Source organism: Homo sapiens, chromosome 1, assembly GCF_000001405.40.
Source record: "Homo sapiens chromosome 1, GRCh38.p14 Primary Assembly".
NCBI classification, from domain to species: Eukaryota; Metazoa; Chordata; class Mammalia; order Primates; family Hominidae; genus Homo; species Homo sapiens.
Window position 1 is genome coordinate 52180827 of NC_000001.11, and position 14927 is coordinate 52195753.

The 14927-nt window shown below is 41.4% G+C and overlaps 1 protein-coding gene and 1 pseudogene across 2 annotated transcripts in view, besides 1 other annotated feature; one reads left to right on the top strand and one right to left on the bottom strand.

The window, feature by feature from the left end:
* Positions 1-14927, top strand: part of ZFYVE9 (zinc finger FYVE-type containing 9) — a 204546-nt gene that overhangs the window by 38738 nt on the left and 150881 nt on the right. The gene's annotated exons all lie outside the window — the stretch shown is intronic.
* Positions 1045-2014: an enhancer, noted in NCBI's record as "NANOG-H3K27ac hESC enhancer chr1:52647543-52648512 (GRCh37/hg19 assembly coordinates)". NCBI's record gives its function as "activates a minimal SCP1, AML or CMV promoter by ChIP-STARR-seq in naive and primed H9 embryonic stem cells {active_cell/tissue: H9 hESC(naive and primed)}" and the evidence as "EXISTENCE:reporter gene assay evidence [ECO:0000049][PMID:30033119]".
* On the bottom strand, positions 9079-9483 carry RPL9P12 (ribosomal protein L9 pseudogene 12; annotated as a pseudogene).

Sequence of the window (14927 nt, forward strand, 5' to 3'; positions counted from 1 at the left end):
TAGCCGGGCGTGGTGGCGCATGCCTGTAATCCCAGTTACTCAGGAGGCTGAGGCAGGAGAATCACTTGAACCTGGGAGGCGGAGGTTGCAGTGAGCTGAATCACCCCATTGCATGCCAGCCTGGGCAACAAAGAGCAAAACTCCGTCTCAAAAAAAAAAAAAAAAAAAAAGGTAGAAATAATCATTGCTGGAAATTCTGTTAAATATTTTGGAACTCGTCCCTCTCCCTCTCCCTCTCCCTCTCCCTCACTTTCTCCCTCACGGTCTCCTTCTCCCTCTCTTTCCACGGTCTCCCTCTGATGCCGAGCCGAAGCTGGACTGTACTGCTGCCATCTCGGCTCACTGCAACCTCCCTGCCTGATTCTCCTGCCTCAGCCTGCTGAGTGCCTGCGATTGCAGGCGCGCGCTGCCACGCCTGACTGGTTTTCGTATTTTTTTGGTGGAGACGGGGTTTCGCTGGGTTGGCCGGGCTGGTCTCCAGCTCCTAACTGCGAGTGATCCGCCAGCCTCGGCCTCCCGAGGTGCTGGGATTGCAGACGGAGTCTGGTTCACTCAGTGCTCAATGGTGCCCAGGCTGGAGTGCAGTGGCGTGATCTCGGCTCGCTACAATCTCCACCTCCCAGCCGCCTGCCTTGGCCTCCCAAAGTGCCGAGATTGCAGCCTCTGCCCGGCCGCCACCCCGTCTGGGAAGGGAGAAGCGTCTCTGCCTGGCCGCCCATCGTCTGGGATGTGAGGAGCCCCTCTGCCTGGCTGCCCAGTCTGGAAAGTGAGGAGCGTCTCTGCCCGCCCGCCATCCCATCTAGGAAGTGAGGAGCGCCTCTTCCCGGCCGCCATCCCATCTAGGAAGTGAGGAGCGTCTCTGCCCGGCCGCCCATCGTCTGAGATGTGGGGAGCGCCTCTGCCCCGCTGCCCCGTCTGGGATGTGAGGAGCGCCTCTGCCTGGCTGCGACCCCGTCTGGGAGGTGAGGAGCGTCTCTGGCTGGCCGCCCCGTCTGAGAAGCGAGGAGCCCCTCCGCCCTGCAGCCGCCCCGTCTGAGAAGCGAGGAGCCCCTCCGCCCGGCAGCCACCCCGTCTGGGAAGTAAGGAGCGTCTCCGCCCGGCAGCCACCCCGTCGGGGAGGGAGGTGGGGGTCAGCCACCGCCAGGCCAGCCGCCCCGTCCCGGAGGGAGGCGAGGGGGTCAGCCCACCGCCCGGCCAGCCGCCCCGTCCGGGAGGGAGGCGAGGGGGTCAGCCCCTCGCCCGGCCAGCTGCCCCGTCCGGAGGGAGGTGGGGGGGTCAGCCCCCCGTCCAGGAGAGAGGTGGGGGGTCAGCCCCCCGCCCGGCCAGCTGCCCCATCGGGGAGGTGAGGGGCGCCTCTGCCCGGCCGCCCCTACTGGGAAGTGAGGAGCCCCTCTGCCCGGCCACCACCCCGTCTGGGAGGTGTGCCCAACAGCTCATTGAGAAGGGGCCATGATGACAGTGGCGGTTTTGTGGAATAGAAAAGGGGGAAAGGTGGGGAAAAGATTGAGAAATCAGATGGTTGCTGTGTCTGTGTAGAAAGAAGTAGACATGGGAGACTTTTCATTTTGTTCTGTACTAAGAAAAATTCTTCTGCCTTGGGATCCTGTTGATCTATGACCTTACCCCGAACCCTGTGCTCTCTGAAACATGTGCTGTGTCCACTCAGGGTTAAATGGATTAAGGGCGGTGCAAGATGTGCTTTGTTAAACAGATGCTTGAAGGCAGCATGCTTGTTAAGAGTCATCACCACTCCCTAATCTCAAGTACCCAGGGACACAAACACTGCGGAAGGCTGCAGGGTCCTCTGCGTAGGAAAACCAGAGACCTTTGTTCACTTGTTAATCTGCTGACCTTCCCTCCACTATTGTCCTGTGACCCAGCCAAATCCCCCTCTGCGAGAAACACCCAAGAATGATCAATAAAAAATAAAATAAAAAATAAAAAAAAATAAATATTTTGGAACTCTTTTTTAAATTATAGTATTTCCTTTAAAAAAAAAATAAAACCAGCTATTGGTATGGCACATGTGTATTTTCCTCATTTATATTTTAAGTAAGCCATAAAACCTAGTCACTATTTTTTGACATATAACTATAAAAAGAATATTTAGTTTTAAATGTGAATAAATTAAAAAAAATAAGGTGTCTATTAGGATTGGCAATTAGAAAGTCATTGATGACCTTAGGTAGAGCAGTTTTAGTAGATTGAAAGTAAGAATTGAAAGTAAGTAAAGGTCAGTAATTTTTTTCTTTTAAAAGAATGTGGCTGTGAAAAGAAGGCGAAAGGGCAGTAATTAGAGGGAAATGTAGGGTTGAAGGAGAGGTTTTAATGTTTGTTATCAAAAGATGTTGAGGATGTTTACAGACCGTAAAAGGGAAAGGTTGAAAAGACAGAGGACACAGGCACTTAGAGTATGTTGTAAAGTAGATTGTTTCAAAATTAATTAACGTATATATTGGGAAGTAAACCAGTTAAGTAGACTATGAATGTTTGGGATATATGTTTGTTGTAACTTATAGCAATCACCAACATATAGAATACTCAAACTCAATTTTAGAAGTCATAGGAAACTAAGAGATTTTCTAGACCAGTTTCTTTATTAAACATATGAGGAAATTGAGACCTGTGTTTGTACTTTTGCCTTTTGAGTTATTAATTTTATTCAAAATTATTTATGTATTTATTTGTTTGTTTTTGAGCTGGAGTCTCACTTTTTCCCTGGCTGGAGTGCAGTGGTGCGATCTCAGCTCACTGCAACCTCTGCCTCCCGGGTTCAAGTAATTCTCCTGTCTCAGCCTTCCGAGTATCTGGGAGTACAGGTGCGTGCCACCACACCCGGCTAATTTTTTTGTGTATTTTAGTAGAGACAGGATTTCACCATGTTGCCCAGGCTGGTCTCAAACTCCTGAGCTTAGGCAATCCACCCGCCTCGGCCTCCCGAAGTGCTAGGATTACTGGCGTGAGCCACCGCGTCCAGCCTCAGCTGTGTCTTTAATGTATAAGCTTGTCAGAGCTTTTCTTTTCTATCTTTCTTTTTTTTTTTTTTGAGATGGAGTCTCACTCTGTCACCCAGGCTGGAGTGCAGTGGCATGATCCTGACCTTGTGATCCACCCACCTCGACTTCCCAAAGTGCTGGGATTACAGGCGTGAGCCACCGCACCTGGCCAAGCTTTTCTTTTTATAAAAATAATTTTTAAAAGACACAGTAAGGTAGAGTAGGGCTGCAGAGAGGACATCATGGAGTTATGTCATAAATTCACACAACGGTCAGGTGATTTGATATAGTTCACCTTTTTAGTTGGCAGCTTTAAATTAGGTCATTTCATGGTTCTATTTGTCCTTTTGGCATTTCTTTAATGACAAGTGTCATTATATATATATATTTATATATATAGATATATATATATATATTTTGAGATGGATTTTCACTCTTGTTGCCCAGGCTGGAGTGCAGTGGCATGATTTTGGCTCACTGCAACCTCTGCCTCCTGGGTTCAAGTGATTCTTCTGTACCTCAGCCTCCCAAGTAGCTGGGAGTACAGGCGCCTGCCACCAAGTCCAGCTAATTTTTTTTTTTTTTTTTTTTTTGGTATTTTTTAGTAGAGATGGGGTTTCCTCATGTTGGCCAGGCTGGCCTTGAACTCCTGACCTCAGGTGATCCACCTGCCTTTTTCTCCCAAATTTCTGGGATTACAGGTGTGAGCCACCGCATCTGGCCAGGAAAATAATTTTGAAGTCAGCCTTTTCCATTTTTGGGTGGCGGGTGGTGGGGAGCGGGGGTGGGCGGGGGTGGGTCCTCAATCAGATACTTAATGTGACAACAAAGAAACAAATTCCTCTTTGACTATCCAGGACGATTATTCCAGATGACCATCCTTTAGATTTAAATAGCTGCTAATGTTCAGTGTAAAAGAATTGAAAAACTGAGTGCGGTGACCTATAATCCCAGATGCTTGGGAGGTTGAGGAGGAGGGATCACCTGAGGCCAGGAGTTAGAGACCAGCCTGGACAACATAGCAAGACCCCATCTCAAAAACAAAACAAAGACTGGGCACGGTGGCTCATGCCTGTAATCCCAGCACTTTGGGAGGACAAGGGGGAGGATTGTTTGAGCTCAGGAGTTCAAGACCAGTCTGGGCAGCATACTGAGTCTCTATCTCTAAGCTAAACAAAACAAAAAAAGAATTGATAAAATGTTTTGCCAAGTCTGATGACGTACAACATTTTTTGTTTGTTTGCTTGGGAGTGGAACCTTTGGGTCTGCCTCCGCATTGCAGTACTATCTCCCCACTTGCTAACACTCATCCCAGGTTTATGCTTTTCTTAAGAGGTGTTCAACAATTTAATACCTACTAGTTCAGCTTTTTCATTGAAGAGGGAGTAATAATTATACCTTACAGAGTGCTTTCTTTTTTAATTTTCATTAACAAAGGGTTGGAACAGATATTTTTATTATCCTCATTTAAGAAGAGAAAAAAACAGGTAGAAGCTAAGCAAGTTTTCTAATGCCACACCATGCTAAAAGATTGTAAATTCCCATGGAAAGACTTATTCTGACAAAATTATCAATGGTTAGTGTATTTTTAATGAAATTAAAAATGAAATTATAAGCCTGGGAAATGTTATTGAGGAATGTCTAAAATTCTATTGCTTAGCTCTGTTAAGTAGCTGTAGAGTATTAGTCCCTAATTAATAAACCAAATAAGTAAGATATGCTATTTATTGAGTTGGAAGTTTTAATATAGAGTATTGCTAAGCACTTTTAAATCCTTTGTTAAAAATAAAATTGGTTAGATGCAGAAAAGGCTCTTGATGGCCGGGCACGGTGGCTCACGCCTGTAATCCCAGCACTTTTGGAGGCCAAGGCGGGCAGATCACAAGGTCAAGAAATCGAGACCATCCTGGCCAACATGGTGAAACCCCATCTCTACTAAAAATATAAAAATTAGCTGGGCATGGTGGTGTTTCTGTAGTCCCAGCTACTTGAGAGGCTGAGACTGGAGAATCGCTTGAACCTGGGAGGCAGAGGTTGCAGTGAGCCGAGATTGCGCCACTGCACTCCAGCCTGGGGACAGAGTGAGACTCCGTCTCAAAAAAAAAAAAAAAAGCTTTTGATAAAATTCAATATCCTGGTTGGGTGCAGTGGCTGATGCCTATAATCCCAGCACTTTGGGAGGCCGAGACGGGTGGATCACTTGAGGTCAGGAGTTCAAGACCAGCCTGGCCAACATGGTGAAACCCCATCTCTACTAAAAATACAGTATTAGCTGGGCTTGGTGGCAGGCACCTGTAATCCTAGTTACTTGGGAGCCTGAGGCAGGAGAATTGCTTGAACCTGGGAGGTGGAGGTTTCAGTGAGCCAAGATCATGCCACTGCACTCCAGCCTGGGTGACAGAGCGAGACTCTGTCTCAAAAAAAAAAAAACAAAACAAAACCCAAAAAACAACAACAAAAAAGCCTCTCAGTAAACTAGGTATTGAAGGAACATACCTTAAAATAATAAGAGCCGTCTATGACCAACCCACAGCCAACCTCATATTGAATGGGCAGGAGCTGGAAGCATTCCCTTGAAAACTGGCACAAGACAAGGATGCCCTTTTTCACTACTCCTATTCAGCACAGTATTGGAAGTCCTGGCCAGGGAGATCAGGGAAGAGAAAGAAAGGGCATCCAGATAGGAAGAAAAGAAGTAAAACTATCATCCATGTTGGCAGATGACATGATTCTATATCTAGAAAACCTCATAGTCTTGGCCCAAAAGCTCCTTCAGCTGATAGCTTCAGCAAAGTTTCAGGATACAGAATAAACACAGAAATCACTAGCATTCCTAGACACTGACAGCAGCCAAGCTGAGAGCCAAATTAGAAACGCAATCCCATTCACAATTGGCACAAAAAGAATAAAGTATTAATACGTAGGAATACAGTTAACCAGGGAGGTGAAAGATCTCTACAATGAGAATTACAAAATATTGCTCAAAGAAATCAGAGATGACACAAACAAATGGAAAAACATTCCATGATTATGGATAGGAAGAATCAATATCATTAAAATGGCCATACTGTCCAAAGCAACTTACAGATTCAATGATATTCCTATCAAACTATCAATGGCATTCTACACAGAACTAGAAAAAAATATTTTAAAATTCATATGGAACCAAAAAAGAGCCCCAAAGCCAAGGGCATCCTCAGGAAAAAGAACAAAGCTGGAGGCATCATATTACCCCACTCAAACTATACTACAGTGCTACAGTAACCAAAACAGCATGGTACTAACACAAAACAGACACGTAAACCAATGGAACAGAATAGAGAGCCCAGAAATAAGGTCCATACCTACAACCATCTGATCTTTGACAAAAGCTGACAAAAACTAGCAATGGGGAAAGGACTGCCTATTCAATAAATGGTGCTGGGATAACTGGCTAGCCATATGCAGAAGATTGAAGCTGGACCCCTTCTTTATACCATGCACAAAAATCAATGCAAGATGGTTTAAAGACTTAAATGTAAAACCCAAAAGTATAAAAACCCTGGAAGACAGCCTAGGCAATACATTTTGGACATAGGAACTGGCAAAGATTTCATGATGAAGACACCAAAAGCCATTGCAACAAAAGCAAAAATTGACAAATGGCATCTAATTAAACTTAAGAGTTTCTGCACAGCAAACTACCAACAGAGTAAACAGACTACAGAATGGGAGAAAATTTTTGCAAACTATGCATCTGACAAAGGTCTGATATCTAGCATCTAAAAGGAGCTTAAACAAATTTATGAGAGAAAAACAACTCCATTAAAAAGTGGGCAAAGGACATGAACACTTTTCAAAAGAAGACATACATGTGCGACCAACAAGCATATGAAGGAAAGCTCACCATCACTGATCATTAGAGAAATGCAAACCAAAACCTCAGTGAGATACCATCTCACACCAGTCAGAGTGGCTATTGTTAAAAAGTCAATTAATAACAGATGCTGACAAGGTTGTGGAGAAAAGGGAATTCTTATACACTGTTGGTGGGAGTGTAAATTAGTTCAGCCATTATGGAAAACGATTCCTTTCCACAGTGATTCCCTTGTTTTGTGATTCCTCAAAGAGCTAAAAACAGAACTATCATTTGACCAAGCAATCCCATTACTGGGTATATACCCAAAGGAATATAAATTGTTCTAGCATAAAGACACATGCATGCATATGTTCATTGCAGCACTATTCACAATAGCAAAGACATGGAATCAACCTAAATGCCTATCAATGGCATATTGGATAAAGGAAATGAGGTACATATACTCCATGGAATACTATGGCGCCATACAAAAGAATGAGACCATATGCTGTGCAGGAACACGGATGGAGCTGGAGGCCGTTGTACTTAGGAAACTAATGCAGGAACAGAAACCGTATACCACGTGTTCTTACTTATAAGTGAGAGCTAAATGATGAGAACACACAGACACAAAGAGGGGAACAACGGACACTGGGTCCTACTGGAGGGTGGAGGCTGGGAGGAGGGAGAAGATCAGAAAAAATAAGTATTAGGTACTAGGCCTTTACCTGGGTGACAAAATAATTTGTACAATAAACCCCTGTGACATGAGTTTACCTGTATAACAAACCTGCACTTGTACCCCTGAACCTAAAATATAAGTTAAAAAATTTTTAAAATAAAATTGCCTAGTTTATCCAACAGTTAGAATTGGCATTTGATGAATATTTTGAATAATATGATTTCATTAAAAATAATAGTTTTGTAATTTTGTACAAAAAATAGTTTTGTAGCCTATAAAATGAATTTATAGGTATGAGAGGACTGGCTGCTAATTTTTCTATCTTATAATTGAAGATGAGTTGCATTGGTTTATATAGTAGACTGAGGTACATGGTAGAATACCAATGTTAAGGTCAGGCGGATCAGAATTACAGTATTTCTAGTTTTAGTTCTTGTTTTTAAGATAGCTTTTTTTTTATGTTTTTAAGATAGCTTTATAACAAAATTCACCTGTTCAAAGTGTAGAATTCAGTAGTTTTCAGTTGTGAATTACTTTCAGTAGTTTTCACAGTCATGCGGTAATCACCACTGTCTTATTTTATTTTATTTTTATTTATTTATTTATTTATTTTGAGATGGAGTCTTGCTTTGTTGCCCACGTTGGAGTGCAGTGGCATGATCTCGGCTCACTGCAACCTCTGCCTCCCAGGTTCGAGTGATTCTTCTGCCTCAGCCTCCCGAGTAGGTGGGATTACAGGCACCTACCACCACGCCTGGCTAATTTTGTATTTTTAGTAGAGATGGGGTTTCACCATATTGGCCCGGGTGGTCTTGAACTCCTGACCTTAAGTGATCCATCCACCTTAGCCTCCCAAAGTGCTAGGATTACAGGCATGAGCCACCATGCCCAGCCTATTTTTTTTTTTTTCTTTAGATAGGATCTCACTCTGTTACCCAGGCTGGAGTGCAGTGGCACGATCCAGGCTCACTGCAACCTCTGCCTCCTGGGTTGAAGTGATTCTCCTGCCTCAGCCTCCCAAGTAGCTGGGATTACAGTCGTGCTCCACCATGCCTGACTAATGTTTGTATTTTTAGTAGAGATGGGGTTTTGTCATGTTGGCCAGGCTGGTCTCTAACTCCTGACCTCAAATGATCCACCCACCTCGGCCTCCCAAAGTGCTGGAATTACAGGTGCGAGCCACTGAGCCCGGCCTAATTTGTTGATTTTTAGTAGAGATGGGGTTTTGCCATGTTGGCCAGGCTGGTCTCAAACTTCTGGCCTCAAGTGATTTGCCTCACTCAGCCTCTGAAAGTGCTGGGATTACAGGTGTGAGCCACCGCACTTGGCCTTAGGTTGTTTTTTTTTTTTTAAACTTGTGCTTTTGGTGTCATATTGCTTAGTGCAAGTCCACAAAGATTTGCTCCTATGTTTTCTTTGAAGAGTTTTAGCTCTTATATTTGGATCTCTTATCCATTTTGAGTTAATTTTTGTATATGGTGTGAGGTAGGTCCAACTTTATTCTTGCGCATGTGAACATCCAACACCATTTGTTGAAAAATGTTCTTTCCTTATGGAATTGTGTTAGTATCCTGGGCTTGGGATACTAAACAGGCAACACCTGGCCTCTTCTGAAACCTGCAGATGTATTTTTCACCCAAGAAAATTTGAATTTTGAGACCCATTCTCTTGGATAACTATGTTGATGAGAAGTGAGTATATATAGACCTCATTTCGTAAGCCCAGTATAACACCCGTGATCATGTTCTGTACATGACTACAAAAAGTGCAAACGGTAGCCAGTTCCCATTTTTCTACCACTTATCAACTTGGAGCTGCTACTTTTTGTTTCCAATAAGATTGTGTTTTACGTTGATGTCCCTCTGCAGGGTACCTCTGGGTTCCTTCATAATACCTGTATGTTTCTTCAGAATGATGTTGACATTTTCTGGAATGTCAATAGCCTGATTGCTGAGAATTGTTTTCATTCTTGCAGTGGATGTGGCAAAGCTTCAACTGTTACTGTTGAATTGTCTATTTCTCACTTCAGTTCTGTCAGTTTATGCTTAGTGTACTTTGGGGTTCCGTTAGGTGCTTTGGTTTTAATTTTATTGTGCATCAAAATTATGCACAATATGGATTAGATTCTCTGTATGTTAATACTGTTGATGACTAAATAAAACAATGTTTCTGTCTCATGTGCTGTGACCAATAAGTGGAGCTTGTTTTGATATGGATTAGATGCTTAAAAGATTTTCAGTTTCATCAATAGTAGATTGTCATGTCTGGATTACATAAAGAAGCACTTGTCTCTGAGAAGGCTCTTGACTTCATTGGGGCTGTGGTTCATTATAAGGGTCTGTGTGTATGTGAGTCACAGTGAACTGCAGCACTTTAAACATGGCTGAGATAAAGTACTTAAATCACTTTGTCAGTATATTAATTTTTATTGAGATTAAAGGGTAGAAGATAGTAATATTTCTTGACTTTCCCTAGAAGAATTTGTGTCAGTAACTATTAATAGCATCTACTTTTTATACAACCAAGTCTTAAACTATATCTGGCTTGACAGGAAGAAGCAAATAGATAAATATCTATTATATTTTATGGATATTCATTCCCTTCCTCCCTCCCTTCCTTCCTTCCTTCCTTCAGCTGTAGTACAGTGGCATGATCCCAGCTCACTGCAGCTTCAACCTCCGTGGCTCAAGTGATCTTCCTGCCTTAGCCCCCTAACGCCTCCAGTGGGTGGGACTATAAATGCATGCCACCATGCCTGGCTAATTTTTGTATTTTTTTGTAGAGTCAGGGTTTCACCATGTTGCCCAGGCTGGTCTTGAACTCCTGGACTCAAGCAGTCCACCTGCTTTGGCCTCCCAAGGTGCTGGAATTACAGGCGTGAGCCACCATGCCCGGTCAATGAATATTATTTCCTTTTAATCTTCATAGCAATATTTTGAGGTGGGAGATAGTGTTCTTACTTTACAAATGAGGGAATTGAAACCCAGAGCCCAGAGATTTATTAATTTGGCTAAGGTCACTGAAAAGTTCTCTTTTCATTCTGTCATTCTTTCAACAAATATGCCAGGCTTTGAAGATGCAGCCATGACCCAGTCAGACACTTGCCCTCATGAAGTGACTTGTCTGGTGGAGTCCTTTTACTGATACTTCTTTGAGCCATATTTCATATAATGACATATATTTGTAGAATTCTTTATGAAGTATTTCTGCATTGTCATCTAATTTTCTAATCCTTACCACAGTCCTATGACCCAGATGGGTTAGATATTATCCCCATTTGAAAGTAGGGAAACTGATACTTAGGGTTATTCAGGTCATATAGTTAGTAAATGGCTGAACCAGTACACAAACCCAGATCATTTGGCTCCAACAATCCTGCACTTTTTCCATTACACCACATTGTCTCGTGATTTCTCATGAAACTGTAAGGCTAGATCACCAAGAGTGATATCCTGGAAAGAAACCAGTCTAGCGGCACTTAGCAAAGGAGAGCTCAACCAGGGAATGGTATGTGGGAAAAGAATAAAATCCAGAGACCCAAAAGCTGTGTCTAGTGTGCTGAAATGGACTTATTGTTAAATAATGGTAGTGAGAAGAAATTTGGAGAGAGACTAAAACATGAAAAATATTAAATGGACATGGTCTTAACAGCATCTAGACAGGCTTAGGACACAGTAATTGGCAGGGGCTTTTTTTTTTTTCTAGAACAAGCACCTGAAACACAGTGAATTTAAGAGGAAGATACCCAAACATCAGACTCTGTGCAGAGCTACCTGCCACTGCAAATCAGGGTGTAATCTTAGAGGAGGGGATTGCTTTGTTTTACATTGATTACTTTGGCTACTTTCATGTATGTTCAGAGATGGCAATCTATCCTATAAAAACATTTGAGTGCTTTTTCTGTGTAAAAGCACTTTTAGGCATTGTGGGAGTGATACCAAGGTAAGTTTGACACCATCATTACCCATAAGAAGTGTGTAACCTAGTAAGGAGATTCTGCTGCATTCAAACATGCTTGTTCATCCGGAGTCTATTATGTATAAGACCGTGTACCAGGTATTTAGGAGACAAGAGTAGATAAGTTAGAAATTGCTCCTAAGCCTTTGGCTTATACTGTCAGTTGCTTAGAGGGTATTTGCTACCTCCTTCCCTTAAATCTAAGTAATTACAAACCTTTTAAAGTAGAGAGCAGGACTTGAAATTCTCTTGGCAAAACAGTAGTCAATTCTGCCATCCTTGTGATTTGGCCACAAACAAAACCTGACAGCCCATGGGTCAGAGCATAGGTGTCATACTAGAAAATATTTGCATCATATTTAACAGTCAAAGGATTAATGCACAGGATATGTAAAGACTCTGACAGATCATTAAGGAAAAATGCAAACATCATAACAGAAAAAAATGGACAAAGAATTTGAACAGGAGGTCATCGAATGGGAAATTCAAAAGGCTAAAAAAGTAAAAATATATGTTCAGTCTTACTTTTTATCAGGAAAATGATGATCCCATAATGAAACATTATTTCTGCCTCTCATTGGCAAAAATAATAGTAATAGCAAATTTAAGTAATAAGAAATCTTTGAGTACTTTCTAAACTGTAGGCAGAACAATCCACAGCAATCCTATGAGATAGGTACTATTATTATTATTACTGTTTTATTGATAAGGGACTTGAGGCACAAGAATAGATGTCCAAGGTCAGACATCTCATGCTTATTGAACCCCCATTTGAACTCAGGCAGTCAGTGTCTAGAGCCTGCACTCTTTTTTGTTGTTGCCTAGGCTGGACTCCAACTTCTGGGCTCAAACAGTCCTCCTGCGTCAGCCTCCTGAGTACCTGGGACTACCCAGCACAGTTTAAAGCCTGCACTCTTCATCACCAGAGTAGTGCCCTTGTCTGGGTTGGCTATTATGCTGTGTACCCAGCCTCTAGAACAGTGCCTAACAGAAAGAAAACATTTAAATACCTGTTGAGTGAATGGATACAGGTAATTAATTTTAAAACAAAAGCATATTAGGCACATCATTTTGGAGGGTAATTTGTCAGTATCAAAAAAAAAAAAAAAAAAAAAGGATACACATGGCCGGGTGTGGTGGCTCATGTCTGTAATCCCAGCATTTTGGGAGGCCAAGGCAGGTGGATCACCTGAGGTCAGGAGATCGAGACCAGCCTGGCCAACATGGTGAAACCCCGTCTCTACTAAAAATACAAAAATTAGCTGGGCATGGTTGCAGGCGCCTGTAATCCTAGCCACTCAGGAGGTTGAGGCAGGAGAATTGCTTGAACCGGGAAGAAGGAGGTTGCAGTGAGCCGAGATCGTGCCACTACACTCAAGTCTGGGCAACAAGAGCAAAACTCTGTCTCAAAAAAAAAAAAAAAAAAAAAAAAAGATACACACTAATGACTCAGTAATTGTGCATCTTAATGTCTTAATGTTTATCTTCAAACACACACGCACGCGCGCACACACACACATGTGTCCAAGGAGGCATATACAAGGGTGTTAATGGGAGCATTCTTGGTAATCGTTGAAAAATAGGGGAAAATGTAAATGCTTATTCGTGCTTTATATAACTGATAAATAACAGGAAAATTATGATATGGTTATATTTTAGAATTCTATGTGTACAATTAAAGTAGTTGTAATCCCAGCTTCTCGGGCGGCTGAGGCACGAGAATTTCTTGAACCTAGGAAGCGAAGGTTGCAGTGAGCTGAGATCGTGGCACTGCACTCCAGTCTGGGCGACAGAGCCAGACTCCATCTCAAAAACAAACAAAGTAGTTTATCTGGAAAGATATCTAGGATATATCATTGAGTGAGAAAAACAAGTTATAGAGCCTTCCCCACCAAAATAGATTCTAGATGATGAAAGAGCGAAGCAAACAAAAGCAACATGAAAATAGCATAGAAAACATAGGCTAATGTGTTCATAATATTGGTATAAAAAAGGCTTTTTCTAAGCATGATATGAAATACAGAAGCCAAAAATGAAGATTGGTGAATTTGACTACATAAAATGGAAGACCTTCATATAAAAAAAAACCTCACTCAAACATTAAACTGAGACTAAGATTCTAAACATGATACATATAAGGAATATTTGTAGGCAGTTTGCAGAAAGGCCAATAAACATATGAAAGATATAAATAGATGTTTAGCTTTTATTCATAATGAAAAATACAAATTAGAAAATAAAGTTCCATTTACTACCTGTGAGATTGGTAAAAGATTGATTTTATTCAATAATGATTAGAGCATGAAGAAAAAATTCTTGTATATACCCATTTGAGGAAATAAAAACAAACAGCATGTTTGGTGGAAAACTTGGCAGTATTTATTAAAATTTAAAATGTGCACTACCTTTCTCTCAAACTTTGCTTTTAGATATTTATTGCACGTTAAAGGGTAAAGATACAGGTACAAGGATATTCATTATATTGTTGATAAGCATAAAAACATGGAAGCAATCTAAAGGCTTATTGATAGGGATAAGAGCTAAATTGTAGTATTATATGTCTATTTAATGGAATGCTATTCAGCTATTTAAAAAGACAGCAAGTCTAGATGTACATGCATGACTTATTTAATACTGCACTGTGTAGTGCTGATTGATTATAATGCTATGCTAAATAGCATGTATGAATATATTATAATAATATATAACAATAGACATGTATGTATTTTTAAAATCCATGGTAGTAACCTGTTAACCTATACCTCTCTCCCTGCTCTGTAGTGCTTACTGCATCTGTAGTGGGAGTATTAATAAATTCAGATATACTATAGTGTTTATATGTTATTAAACTATATTTTTTCTTTTCCTTTTTCTCTTTCTCTTTTCTTTGCAAAACAGTGAGCACAGCTTCTAGCTCATGGAAGCATTTTTTACACTGAAAATATTTCTAAAGGGTGAAAAGAGGTAAAGGAGGAATGTTGTTTCCAAATATATACATACCTAGTGGTTAAGAATCTGAGACGTGAAACCAGATTGCCTAGATTCAAATTCTGGCTGTGTCACTGTGTGTGACCTTGTGCAAGTCACTTAAATTCTTTTTGCCTCCATTTCTTCATTATCCATTCAACAAATATTTGACTGCTTACTATATATCCCAGACACTGTTCTGGGTGCCAGCAATGCAACAAAGAGCATTAAGAGAAGATCTCTGCCCTCTTGTAGTATACATCTTGGAGGGCCTAATTATACCCACTATTTAGGATTGTAAAGAAAAGTAAAAGTTTAATACCTAAAAAGCACTTGGAAGAGTGTCTGGTACATAGTAAGTGGTCAATAAATATTATTATTCCCTCTCTTCTTTTCTGCAAAATAGACACAGAGTGTTTTTTATTTTTATTTTGGACACAGAGTATTAATGTATTAACTAGTTTATGAAAGTTTTTGATAAATGCAA